The 15,146-nt window shown below is 35.1% G+C and overlaps 1 protein-coding gene across 3 annotated transcripts in view, besides 1 other annotated feature; it reads right to left on the reverse strand.

Annotated features, from left to right (window-relative positions):
- Positions 1-15,146, reverse strand: part of PDE7A (phosphodiesterase 7A) — a 127,731-nt gene that overhangs the window by 107,801 nt on the left and 4,784 nt on the right. The gene's annotated exons all lie outside the window — the stretch shown is intronic.
- Positions 7,663-7,782: an enhancer, noted in NCBI's record as "active region_27464". NCBI's record gives its function as "activates an Ori minimal core promoter by ATAC-STARR-seq in GM12878 lymphoblastoid cells {active_cell/tissue: GM12878}" and the evidence as "EXISTENCE:reporter gene assay evidence [ECO:0000049][PMID:35858748]".

Consider the following 15,146-nt stretch of genomic DNA (forward strand, 5'->3'; position numbering starts at 1 on the left):
CATCTATTAAAGAAAGAAGTCCCCAGGAGAAATCCAGAGACCTTTGTAAAGTCTTTAAGGGGCTGGAAACCTGCCCCCTCATTCTGACCTTGCCGTCCATCAGCTTTATATGAGAGACTGTGAATGCTATACCACTTCAAGAAGTGCTCCAGAAATCCTCCGTCATTCTAAGAAAAAACAGTAGCCACCTTGAGATGGCATATGGTATTTTAGAACAGAAATGACTGAATGCCACCGCAGAGAAAGGGATGGCATTGTGGGAAGGAGAAAAAGGAGGAAGTGTGGGTAGAGCAGACAGCTGGACTCTCCGTAGGACTGGGTCACTGACAGGACTTGATAATGGTTTGATTCACTTTCTATATTTGCTAATATCTACTTGGTGTGAAGCACTGGGCTTACAAAAGTGAAATAAACAGTATCCACTCTTAAGAAGCACATATTCTAACCAAACATACTGAAGTCGGAACAGATCAGTGGACAAGGTCAGCTGTGCTAAGAGTTAATCCTAGGCTGTAACCTTAAGAACTGAAACCAGAGTTGGTTAATAAAGTCAAATAAATCAGTAGAGAAAAAGCTGAGGGCAACTGGACTCAGGAAGCAAAGAAAGTTATAGATACATGGTATCCTAGGGGTATGATGAGTGAACTTCAAGAACCCCCAAATGTTTGAAGTGTTACAAACATTTCTATACAGGCTCCCCCACTCCCATTTTTGGAGGAGGTGGAAATAATGCATAGTAATTTAACAGATTATCTGAGGCAGCAGTCTCCAAAATTTTAAAGCACTTATTATCTTATCTATTAACTTTATCTATCTATCTATCTATCTATATACACAAACACTCTATGGAAAATAAATAAAACTAGGATCAAAAAAATTAAAGTTAAAAATAAATACAAGTAAAATCTTCAAGTTTTATTTTTCTATTTCCAGTGGTTCTTCTTGCACAGCCCACTTGAATCCTGCTCTAAGGTGTCCTAACATTAAAATAAAGACATTTAAAAATACCACTGATGGGGAGAAGAGGGTGGAAAACCTCTAAAAAGTTTGAAAAACCACACCTCAAATAGAAATGAGCTGAGGCCAACCACCAAAATCCTTAAAGTCACTTCCACAAAGTTTTTCTCCAAAAATGAATTTGGAGAATTTTCATTGTGAGACAAAGAAAACATTAAACTGAATAATGATGTTTCTACAGATTGCAGGTAATCTATGTTCTGCTTTTACCTTCAAATTGTCCTCTTGTATGTTATTATTATTTAAAAATCCCTTTAAATGTTTGCAAGATATAAATTCTCCTTAAAAACTTAAAAGTTTCAGAAAACTAATCTGTCTAAATGGGTCTTATTTTCTATTTTTCTTACTATAACATCACAAAATTAAAAATACTTGATTTAGGGGGAGATTATGTGTGGCAATTTCTTTAACACTGAGTGCTTCTGTAGTACATTCAGTTACACGCATAAAAATTTTTCCCTCCCATTCCACATTCTCAGGTCTAGAAAAATATTTATCTTGTCACCTTTACCATATATTAAAAACATGAAGAGATAACTAGTCATTAATTACTGACAATTAGCCAATGCAATATATTAAAATCTTTATCAAACTAGTATATTGAAGACAAAAAGTTTACATGTGCGAGATTTATAAAATACTAAAAACTTTTATTAATAATAAACGTACTGCTATTATTACATCATTACAGCAACTAAAGACTTACTAGTTAAGATCTGGCAGTACAAGTAGGACATTAAAAATAAGGCAAAAAAAGGGAAAGTTTCCCACAAATATGACAAAATGTTCTTTCTCAATACAAAATAATTCAAAAATTGATATAAAAATACTAAGTTGACAACAAAAACAAGAGCCAATAGAAACAACTCACAGAAGATACAGGAATGCCTTGCTTTATTGTGCTTTTCAGACACTGCATTTTTTTTACAAAATGAAGGTCTGTGGCAACTGCACCTAGCAAGTCTACTGGCACCATTTTCCCAACTGCATCTGCTCACTTCTTATCTCTATGTCACATTTTGATAACTGTCACAATATTTCAAACTTTTTAATTATTGTATTTGTTATGGTGATCTGTGATAGTGATCTTTAATGATACTATTGTAATTGTCTGGGGCGCCATGAAACTTGTCCACATAACACTCAAATTTAATCAGGAATTCCTTCTTACTGATGAGCAAAGAAAGTGGTTTCCGGAGTTGAAATTTACTCCTGGTGAAGATGCTGTGAACACTGCTGAAATGACAACAAAGAATTCAGGATGTTACATAAACTTGGTTGATAAAGCAGGGTTTGAGAGGACTGACTTCAATTTTGGAAGTTCTGCCTGTGGATAAAAATGCTATTAAACACTATCACATGCCACAGAAAAATCTTTCATGAAAGGGAAAGTCCATCAATGCAGCAAATGTCATTGTTATCCTATTTTAAGAAATTGCCACAGCCACCCAACCTTCAGCAACCCCCACCCTGATCAGTCAGCAGCCATCAACTGAGGCAAGACCCTCGACCAGCAGAAAGATTACAACTTGATGAAGGCTCAGAAGACTGTTAGCCTTTTTCAGCAATAAAGTATTTTTAAATTAAAGTGTGTACATTGTTTTTATTAGACATAATGCTACTGTACACTTAATAGACTACAGTACAGCGCAAACATAACTTTTATATGCATGGGGAAACCAAAAGATTCACGTGACTTGCTTTATTGTGATATTAGCTTTACTGTGATAGTCTGAACCCACAATATCTGAGGTATGCCTATAGATAGAGCAGGTAATTAATAACAAACATATATTACAAGTTTAATATTTAAAAAATTCCAGAAATGGAAACTAAATATATTGGAAATATAAATTGGCATCATCTTTCTGGAAACAAATTTGACAGTATGCTTTGATCTAGTAATTACATTAGGAAATGATTTCAAAATTCAAGATTTATGCACAAAAATCATCACAATATTTTTACATAAAAAATACTTGATTAAAATATTCTAAAATGTTAATAGTGGTTATCTCTCAGTGGAAGAACTATGGATGGTCTTTACTTCTTTACATTTTTTCATATATTCCATGTATTTTATAACAAGCATACATTAACTTTAGTCCAAAAAAAATTCAGGTTACTTTTTAAAGGTTCTGTTAGCAAATATCACCCAGTTCTTCTTATAGAAACAAACAATGAATGTTTGCTATTTCTATTCCAATGGACAGGGCTCCTATTCTAATTCTGGATTTATACCTCCCACTTACCAAGAACATCAGCCTCCACACCAGCATAGCAGAGGAGCTTTAGTTAGAGAGAGATCTAAGTTTAAATCCTAGAAATACCACTTATAGCTGTGTTACTTTGGGCACCTTACTTTTCTAAACTTCAACGCATTCTTAAATAAGACTTGCATATATTATATTTATATATTTAGAGTTAAGATAGTTCCAATATTACAAAGGGCAATTCAGAAAGGGTATAAAGATGAAGGTGGAATCTTGGAGGAGGTAGGTGGGAAGAATACAATTTGGGATTCATCCAAAGGAAAGTTATGGTGACATATGCTCTGACATGGTATGCATGAGATTAAATGAGTAAGTTTTTCTTTATTCTTTTGTAAAGAACACTTACTATGTGATGTACACTAGGGACACAGTAGTGAATAGGGTAAACAGGACTCCTGTTGGCTGACCACATATTCAATGGCGGTGAAGGTGGGGGGTGAGGCGGAGATGAATGCCAGGTAGAGACATACAAATCAAATTAGTGAGGTGTGTCATAAATAAAACGAAGTGTAACAGGTAATGGGATAGATGGGGGATGGGTGCTATTTTGAAGAGGATGGTCAAGGAAGGCTCCTCTGCAAAGACTGGGCTGACACTTGAATGACATGGAGCCATGGGAAGAGCCTGAGTCTGACAAAACAGCCAATGCAAAGACAAAGACCAGAACAAAGCTGGCATATTCACAAACAGCAGGAAGACCACTGTGAAAGGCCAAGAGATTGAAGAGGTAGCAGGAACCAGATCACATGGGGCCATATCATGAAAAGGAGTTTGAATTGTGTTTTACTGTGATGAGAACACACTGATGTTTTCAATAGACTGACACAATCTTACTGCATCTTAAAAATTACTTCAACCAAATTGTGGAGGTAGAATTCTAGTGACAGGAGGCTATTGCAGCCGGCTAAATATGCTTTGAACTAGGTAGGACTGATAGCACTGCAGTGGCAGAATAAAACAGAATTCCTATGGAGGCTGGTTTCAACTCTATCTTTGAAACCAAACACAAAGATCTCACTTCGTAAAACATCCCAGGTTCTCCTAGCTTCAGGTGCCATCACTTAACTTCATATAACATTCTAGTGAAAACATGTATCAAAATGTATTGCAACTGTCTATTTACAAAGCTGCTTTTTCTACTGAGTCAAACCCCAAGAATGAAGGCAGGAACAATGTCTTATTTATCTCTGTAATACCTAGCAGAGTGCCTGGCATGTAAGTGCTCAGTAAATTTGATTGAAAGAATGAACAAATAAATTTGAAATAATCAAAACCATCTGTAATAGTTTCCTAGGGCTATTAACACAGTACCACAAATCGGGTGGCTTAAAACAACAGAAATATATTCTCTCATAGTTCTGGAGGCTGAAGGTCCAAAATCAAGGAGTCAGCAGGACCATGCTCCCTTTGAAGGCTTTAGAGGAGAATCGTCCTTGCCCCTTTCTAGTTTCTGATGTCTCCCAGCAATCCTTGGTGTTCTTGGCTGGTGGCTGCATCACTCCAATCTCTGCCTCCATCTTCACATGATTTTCTTCCTTGAGTGTGTCTGAGTTTCTGGGACTCCAGAGATACCACTCATTGAATCGAGGGTCTGTCTTAATCCCATATATTCTCATCTTAACTACATTTGCAAAGACCCTTACTCCAAATAAGGTCACATTCTGAGATTCCTGGTGAACAAGAATTGTTGGTAAACACTATTCAACCCCACTACACCATTAAACACCACAATGCATTGCCTTACCAAGTGGTAACCTTCCCGCTCCAAAAGTGTTCCATAAGGCTGAATAGTCAAAATCAGAAACATTCAACAGAAGAGATTTCTGTATTGCCTTTGTGTGTCCTTTAACCTCTCTTGTTTCAGCCTACTGATCTGTATGTTATGAGAAGTTTACAGGCTCTTCTAATGGTAATATTCTATGATCTTAAGCCGTAATTTTTCTTGACAACTTTTTAGATTTTACGAACGTATTAGGCATATAGAGACCCTCAAATATTTTAGTAAATTTAAATATAACAGAAAGTTTATTTTCTCAGCTTTGAAGTAGGTAGAATGTTTTTTGTAAACTAGCCACCATAACACTCACTTTAATTTTCTTCATTTTTCATTAAGAATGCAGCATATTCCTCCAAACATTATAACACTATACAGTCATGTGCCAAATAACCACATTTTATTCAATAATGAATAGCATGTATAACAGTGGACCCATAACATTATAACACTGTATTTTTAGTGTATCTTTTCTATGTTTAAATGCACAAATACCATTGTGTTACAACTTCCTACATATTTAGTACAGTAACATGCAGTACAGGTTTGCAGCCTAGAAGCAATAGGCTATACCACACAGCCTAGGTGTGTGGTAGGCTATGCTATCTAGATTTGTGTAAATATGATGTTCACACAACGACGAAATCGCCTAATGATGCATTTATCAGTATGTATCCTCATTGTTAAGCGACACATGACTCTACTTTCATTTTAACAGACTATACCTCTGAACACCTTCTATGTGCCAGGCACACAGGGCTATGGCAGTGAATAACCCACTTCCAACTCACATACTTGTAACTCATTAGATTATTAACTAACTAGACCTCAGTCTCTTCATAACTTAAAAATTCCACTTATATGATACTCTAACAGACATGTTACTTTTTTAAAGGGACTATTTCAAAAAATAGCTTTGTCGATTTCTGAAATAGATATATTTTCATTGTTTAAAAAAAAAAATCAGAAAAGTAGGAAGATGGTAAAAATTACCAGAAATCTCACTACCCAAAGATAGGCACTGTTAACATTATACTGAATAACCTTCCAGATTTGGATGTTTTCACACATTGATATATAATATCTTCCATGATTTTATCCAAAAATACAGATGTAGAAAGCAGCATTAAATGGCTGTTAAATTGACAGGCATGCCATTTTGCAACTAGTTTTTTTCCCCCAAAGTTGTTATGTGTATCTTTCTATGACAAATATGGCTATTTGGCATCATTTTATTGGATACAGAGTTTTCTGTTGAATTAAAATACCCATAATTTATCCAATCCCCCACTGATAAACACTGAAATGAATTAAAATATCTATCATTACCAATGTTGCAAATTGTTACCAAAAACCTGTATACATATATCTTAGCAAAGTTTTGCAATTGCCCCTTTGGACAAATTCCAGGACTGCAGAAATGGTAGTATCTACATTTAAAATTTTCATCTGTATAGCATAGACCTTCTGTCCTCTCAAAAGGTTGACTCAAATGATACTCCAACTCCACATATAAGATTACTCATTTTCTTATATCCTTCCCAACAGTGGATTTTGTCAGTCTTCACCAATATGAAAGTACTCTTCTGCCAAAACAAAACAAAGCCAAACCACCTTTTATTTGCATTTCCTTTATTACTAGATAAGCTATACATGTTTTGCTACATTTATATTTCTTCTTGGAACTGCTTGAGACTTTTGCTAATTTTCTACCGAGTAGTCTTATATTCGAGTATTTTGCTAATTTTCTACTGAGTAGTCTTTACATTCTTGGGTATTTGATTGTATTATCCTTGTTAAAAGTAAAGAATCTTTTCATTTTACTTTTTAGAATAACTTCATTGTTTTTCTTAAAATATATATTCACTATGAAGAATTTACACAAAAAGTAAAATTTTAAAAAAATTTAAATTACTAAAAAATTCCACTACTCACCATTTCATACATAACAGTGCTAGAGAGTGAGCTCGCTGTATGTTATGATATTAACTTTTGTTCCCCAAGGTGAAAATGGCTTCATTCATAAGTTAATTTTTAAAGGCAAGTAAGATATGTCTTTCTTTATAAAAGGTTAAGTTGCACATAAATCACATTTCAACAAATCAAATGCTATCTTCCCAAATGACCCATTATACTTCTGATAATGGCTTTGCTTTATCTCTGATTATATGTTAATTAAAAGTAACTCAGATATTTTCAGAACTGAGTGTGTTTGTACTCTTAACTTTTTCAAACGATTACTGGGCCATAAACAGATGGCTTCAATGTATTAAAGAAGATATGCCACCCAAATAATGTCCATTAAAGAAAGACGGCAACTGAAAGAATTCCTACAGCTCAATCCTTTTATAAGGAAGCAGGGAATATAGTGAGAAAAGCAACAGATTAAAAGTTGGAAGAACTAAATTTAAAGCCGTAACTTCTCCACTTTCTTACTGTGTGATCTGGGACAAATCACTCAATCTTCTGAGCCTCAGCTGCTAAATTTCTAAAATGTTGGGAATGGAATTATTTATAAAGTCCCTTTCAAGCATTGATATTCTGATTCCACAGAGTGATGAAGTATGGAAACCCAGAACTAGTAACAATCAAAAACCTAGAAAAAAAATGACAGATGAATAAGGTATTATTTCTGTATAGCTATGGAGAGCAGCAAAATACAGCAACAAGGCAGCAACAAGTAACAAAGGGAATATAGTAAACCAGCAGTCCACAAATTGGGTCATGTATACCCCTGGAAGCATATCAGCATGGAGAGTAAAGAGAATTGATGATTAGGTTCTCACTTTCCATCTGTACAGTTTTCTAGAACCATTGTGTTGACACAGCATGTCTGTTTTCCTTTACTTCCACTTCCTCTTTCCCTTTACCTCATTCCCCTCTGCCACTTCATAAAAGAAAACCGTAACTCTCACATTTTCTGAAACTTGCTGTCGAGTACTGTCTTTGGGCTAAAAATATCCAGGTGGACAAAAGGACACTTCAATATATTCATGTTGAGAAAGTTAATTACTCTAAAAACACTGAAACCTTTTTCTTTCTTTTTTTTTTAACATTTATTTTAAGTTCAGGGTTCTTTTTCAAATCAAGGTGTCACCACTTCCATGAAAATGAAAGGAGAATCAAATCCAGTTGCTACCTGACAAAGCATTAAGAATAATTTTGATTATGGATTATTTTGTTGTTTTATGCATACAACCTAGAAGAATGGGTGCTACTGCTAATATAAAGCACTTTTTAATGACCATCTACTAAATTCGTAAGTGAGGTTTCTCAACACTTTCAAATATTAAAGTAAAAAAGGAACAGAATCAAGCAGAACCCCATCTTTTCTAATATTTAGAAATGGATAAAATAATTGAAATAAATCAGCCCCATCTATCCCACTGAAAACGCATTTCTGACAAAATTTTACTTTAATACTTATTAAAATTTGTAATTAACATATGTTGTTTTGATTGTCTACTGGACATGACTGAACTGATAACTCAGTCCAAAATAAATCTGACACAGAGCATTATGGACATACACAATTTTCGTATTTTTGTATTATAACTGTCCATAGAACTCAGAACTGAGTGACCATTAAAATAAAGCACTTTTTATTCCCATCTACTAAATTCATGAATGAATTTCCTTTTGTTGCAGAAAAATATAACATGATTGATAAAAATGCTTTCCAGCATAAAAGAATACATTAGGATAATATGTAGAGAAAGTAAAACAAAAATAACAGTTCAAAGAAAAAAAAAGACTATAAAAAATTCTGTTAAAATTAACTTTGTTCACATATTTTTTAATGAATGAACTGTTAAAAATCCCCTCATATACATTTAAAATTGTGATTTGAACAACACTACCAGAAATTACATCATTTATATATATTAAAACTTAGATGAAAAACTCAAGATGTGGGAGAAGGTACACAGTTTTTTTGTTGTTCAAGTTCTTTGAAAGGCTGTATGAGCAAAATGTTTGAAAACCCTTATACTAAAGGTCAGAATATATCATTAGTGCTAACCTTTCTACTGGACATCCTCATCTGGATGTTCAGACACTTGAACTCTACATATTCGAAGTAAACTTATCTACCCCCCTCTACAAATGCACACATTTGTTTTTGAAAGAAGAAAGAAAAACAAACCTGCCTCTTCTTCCTATTTGCATTTTTGTTCCTAGCTTCACAATCTACCTGGTCTTTCCAAACTAAAACAGTAGGAATACTTTTTACCTCCCAAAGCAAATCACTTCCTAGGACCTAACTCCTAACTTTCTCTCTTCCTTCCACCACTGCCATTGTTGAAGATCTCTTCACCAGCTGTCATCAAATAGCTCTTCTTCAAAACAATAACTATACTTAATTTTACCTCCCAGGATCTCTCATGGAAAGTAAAATTACTTTACAATAATCAGAGCTATGCAGGTGTACCTGTCATGCATATATATGACTTACCAAAAAAAAAAAAATCACAGAATCACGAAGGTGGAAGAAATCAGTCAAACCCTTGGAGACTATCCTTATCTAAATACCTTTCAAGCTGCTGTCTCAACAGTCACTGGTTGAGAATTTATAAACTCATGAGCTGCCCACCCTTTACGAACAGCTTTGCCAAAGATCTGGGTCCAAATACAACTCACTTGACTTATTATTCCTAAATTAATTTGGTTAAAAAAGAGATTCATGTTAATACAAGAATATCAATAAAGTTACATACAATTATAAAGAAGTTAAAAATAACTTATAATTTCACCACCCAGCAATAGCTTCAGTTAGCATTTTGGGATACATCTAGCTTTCTCTTTATTTTTTGGCACGCATGCATGGTATATAGATATGTATGTATTCTGTTATTTGTTTTTTAAACACAATTAAGATAATCTGTAGATACTCTGGGGTTTTTCTTCACTTAATTATGTTGCTAGCATTTCTTCCATGTGATTAAAGATTCCTCAAATTCTTCAAATCATTTTAGTGGATATACAATATAGAAATAATACTAGAATCCATTGAGCCATTTGTAAACTATATTTTTATATATCCTTTAAATTTTTCAAGGCATTTAAGTGCTAACATAATACAGAAACAATGAAAAATACTATACTACATAATACTATAATCTACTTCATCATTTGTAAATTATGTTTTCAATTTTTCACAGTGATAAATAATGGGATGAATAAACTTGAAGATTAACCTTTATCTACATTTTTAGTCATGTCCTCAGAATAGATTCCCAAAAGCGAATTATCAAAAATACTAATTTAAGTATTAATTTTTAAAATCTTACTAGCATTGTGTACATGTAACCTTCAAGCTATAAACTCACTTTGGCTGCAGTGTAGTAGCACGATCACAATTCACTGCAGCCATGACCTCCTGGGCTCAAGAGATCCTCCCACCACAGCCTCCAGCTTAGCTGGGACTACAAGCACGTGTCACCATGCCTGGCTAATTTTTAAAATTTTTTTTGCAGAGACAGGATCTCTCTGTGTTGCCTAGGCTGGTCTCAAATTCCTGAATTCAAGCAACCCTCCCACCTAAGCCTCACAAGTGTTGGGATTACAGGCATGAACCACCATGCCCAGCCAGTATCACATTTTTTAGTATGCATTTCTTTGATTACCAGCATGGTTAAACACCAGATCTCCTTATTTCCTACTGTTCCTAGCTATTGGTACTTATTTTACCCTCTGAGGTAACGTCCTTTTCCCATGTGGCAAAAGGAAGTAGAAGAGAGTACACAGGCTTTAGAGTCAGCATGACCTAGAGTTTAACCCATTTCCACTACTTAATTGTGTTACCTTGGACAAATGACAGCTTTAAACTTATATCTTCTCCAAATTAGAGACGCTTAACACAAAGTAGGAAGAGTGCACAGCAATCAACAACACACAACCAATCGAAATCTATAACATATTAACCCTCTTTTTCCTTTTATTCACATGGCAGTCCTTTAAATCCTGGAAGACAGCAATGCTCTGTCCCCTCTCACCAACTCTCCATCTCCATCTCTATCCCTGCTGGCTAAAATCTGAGACTTTTTTTCTCCAGAGAAGTGGTTTCAAATCACCTTACCAACCTGCTCATTATCTTCAGAGAACAATTTAGCTGAGTTATACCCTCCTAGAACATGGCATTTAGAACAAAATACTCCAGATAGGATTTGAAAAGATCAGAATGAAAGTTATTACTTCAAATAACTACATCAAATAATCAGTCAAATGTGTTTTCCTAATCCACATCCATAAGACAACAAGATTTATAATTTGTAAACTCAAAATTCTAACTGCAGTCCACTCATCTTCCCTGATTAGGCAGGCCAGATTAAAAGTGAAGGTCTTGGAGCACAACAGGCCTTTCTGGAAGTTCATATAATACCTTGAGCAACTTAATGTCTGGAAACTCAGTTTATTCTTTGGTAAAAATGAGAGTAATACTACTTAATCTCACGGAGTTTTTGTAAAGATCAAAAACACCAACTGGGCCAGGCACGGTGGCTCATGCTTGTAATCCCAGCACTTTGGGAGGCCAAGGTGGGCGGATCACTTGAGTCCTGGAGTTCCAGACCAGCATGGGCAACATGGCAAAACCCCATCTCTACAAAAACTAGAAAAATTAGCCAGGCATGGTGGGGCATGCCTGTAGTCCCAGTTACTCAGGAGGGTCATTTAAGGCCGGGATGCAGAGGTTGCAATGAGCCGAGATACTGCCATTGCACTCTAGCCTGGGAGACAGAACAAGACCCTGTCTCAAACAAAAACAAAACAAAACAAAAAAACACCACACTAATTAAAAGTATCTGCCATATAGGAGTTACTCCAAAAACAGAAACAAATACAGTTGACAATTCAATATGGGTTTGACCTGCAAAGGTCCCCTTACAAGCAGATTTTTTTCAATAAATATACTAAGAAATTTTGTGAAGATTTATGAAAATTTAAGAAAACTTGCAAAGCATCACCCCTGAGACAGACCAATCCCTCCTCTTCCTCCTCAGCCTACTCAACATGAAGATGATGAGGTTCATGAAGACCTTTACAACGATCCACCTCCCCTTAATGAATAGCAAACTCTTACTTCTGATATTCTTAATAACATTTTCTTTTCTCTAGCTTGCTTTATTGTAAGACAGAATATAATACATACACAAAATTTGTGCTAATCAACTGTTTATGTTATCAGTAAGGCTTCTCACCAAGAGTAGGCTATTAGTAGTTAAGTTTTTGAGGAGTCAAAAGTTATATGTGGATTTTTGACTGCACGGGGAGTTGCAGCCTGCATTGTTCAAGGGTCAGCTGTAATTATAATTGTTACTAAAGCAAAACTACTGCATCTTTATTAAGAACCACTTGCCAAGTACTTTATATGGTCCTGAACTACACTTTGTTCTACTCAAAATTCTGATAAGTAAAGCAGACTTTGCTGAAATTTAGTTACCCAGTTAACAACTAATTTTCTCCCCCAAATTCTACCCTGACTTGCCTTGGTCTTCTCCATCTCCCTCTAGCCATCACTTTCTGAAAATGAAGAGCCATCCCTACCAGCAGGTGGAGGCATGGAGCAGTGTTCCAAAATTGCTACTCAAAGAAAATTATAAGCAGGAGATGCTTCAGTGTCAACCATACAATCATTGGCACAGTCCCTTCCCTTATAAAAGGAACCTACCAGCAGCCAAAATAAAGCCCTGCAAGTTTAGAAGGCTCATCTACAAATCTAGTTTTTGTTCCTCTCCTCATATGCTGATCCTATGAACACTACCTGAATGCAAATATACCTGAATGCAAATATGCAAAAGTATCACTTATTTGTGAATAACCTTTTGAAAAGCATGTTTGGCAACAATATAAAAAAATCAACAAAGTCTATGTTACTTTTAGGCAAGAATAAGCCATTTAAATGTGGAAGAGAATAAATTCAAAATTGTCTCTCAATTCAAATTAACCATAAAAGATAAGCAACTTCACAGCCAGAATTTAAGTTTTGAATTATTTTTAAATTAGAAGATTCAAAATGAATTGGAGTTTTTTGTAGTGAACACAGGGAATTTAAGAATGTCTAGATCTGAAAAGATCTTTAGTCAAGAGACTTCTAACAAAATCAGAAATAGATTTTACATAAACACATAAATGTGATCCATAAAGTCAAACAAAGAAAATTAAGAAAACAAAGAAAAGTAAATTCCTTAAGAGGGCCTGCATGCAATAAGGCTTCTTCATCATCTAAATTTACTAGGTCTTTAATCCAGTTAAATGACTGTTAACGATCTTAGACAAAAATGAGACAGAACCTAAGTTTTGTCCACTCCCCCTTTCTTCAGCTCTTCTTTTCCCAAACTTGCCCCTACATTCATCCTCAGAAAACAACACAATTCTCTATAACTGCTCTGGTCAATAGTGAAGGAAGAGGAGGGAAGAGAAAAGAAGAGAAGAGTTGAAAATTGCCTCAAAGAGAATGAAGGGCACCTCTCCCTCTTTCCACCCAAAGTGAGCTCCCTCTCTTCCTAACTTCTGTGAAGGGCTTAATATTTTACCTCTTGCAGACTTTGGTGTTTAAGAAGGAATTCCTGGGTAGACAGCATGTACAGCTGATGGAACTCTAGGCATAGCAACAAAGCAGTAAAATCTCGGCATATAAATCACATCTCCTAGACTGAATGTGTTCCTGACAACCTATAAACTAGCAATTTGAACACCCTGTTAGAACTACACTCCCACTCCAAATACACTATGGATTTACATTAATATTATGTTTGAGCATGTATCTGAAATATAAACATATATTAGCTCAGAAGTGAAAGCTAAAGTATGGTAGTATTAAATTTAAATCAAAGTATGAAGCATTTCTGAAAACAGAAATGAAGCCAAGGTCCCAACAAAACAGGTGTTTTGAGAATACACAGGTAGGAAGGTCTCATAAATATAACCACTTCCCTTGGGGTATCCCACTCACTGGCCACACTAGTCCCTGTATCAGCTTCTGTATCTAAGTTTGCAAAGAGGCAACTATTATGCTAACAGTAATTTGGAATAATGCACATTTATATACTGATGTTGGGTACACAAGAGCCCTTATAAACAAGCACGGGATATGCAAATAAAATTTCACAAAAGAGCAAATACAAATAGCACAAGCAATACTTCAGAAAGCACACTCTTGCTTACTGCAATTTAAAACAAACTCAGTGTACCACACTGCATCTACTATAGTAGCAAAATGTTTATAAAATGTCTAATAATATATGATTGGAGATGAAACAGACAGGATCACCTATTTTGGTAATATCAAAGGATAGATCCTTTTGTGAATTTCAAAAGATGTTCTTACCTTTTGACCCAACCTAGTGATTTTAAAGACTTTATCAAGCATGCATGAAGGTATTTATTAAATGAAGTTTTGCATACATCAACGAAAACCTAAAAACAAAAATGTTCAACATTCAGAGAATGTGTTGCTCATAGATTAACATGACTTCACTCTAGTTTATTGACAATACCTCTGCTCTGCCAATTGAAAAGCTGCTAGCCATATGTAGCTATTTAAATAAAACTGAAGTAAAAATTCATTTCCTCAGTCATACTAGCCACATTTCAAGTGCCCACTAGCCACATAAGGCTAGTGACTATCATCAGATAGTGCAAAAACATTTCCATCATCACAGAAAGTTCTACTGGACATCTCTGATCATATCCACGTGGGCCATCCTCCTTCCTCCTCCCCCTACATTCACCCATTTGTCTAGAAACAACTGCTTCACCTTCAGTCCTTGGCCTAAGAAAGCCTCAACGATTACATAAGGCTAATCCTGATTTAAACCAGAAATTTAGGCATACATGCCTTATCATCTCATAACACTTTGATAACTCCAGTATAATAATTACACCACATATAATCATACCATTTTCTCTATCACAATTCTGTAAGCTTCCTGAAGGAGGAACCAACTTTTATCCAAGGGGCTTTGAACTATTCTCGCACTCACAGGACCTGGATAATTTGTCATATACTAAGAACACTGCTAAAGAGAGAATGGAAATAATGACTGTAGTTGAAAAACGGTTGTGTATAAGGAAGGGTATGCATA

Source organism: Homo sapiens, chromosome 8 (assembly GCF_000001405.40).
Source record: "Homo sapiens chromosome 8, GRCh38.p14 Primary Assembly".
Taxonomy (NCBI): Eukaryota; Metazoa; Chordata; class Mammalia; order Primates; family Hominidae; genus Homo; species Homo sapiens.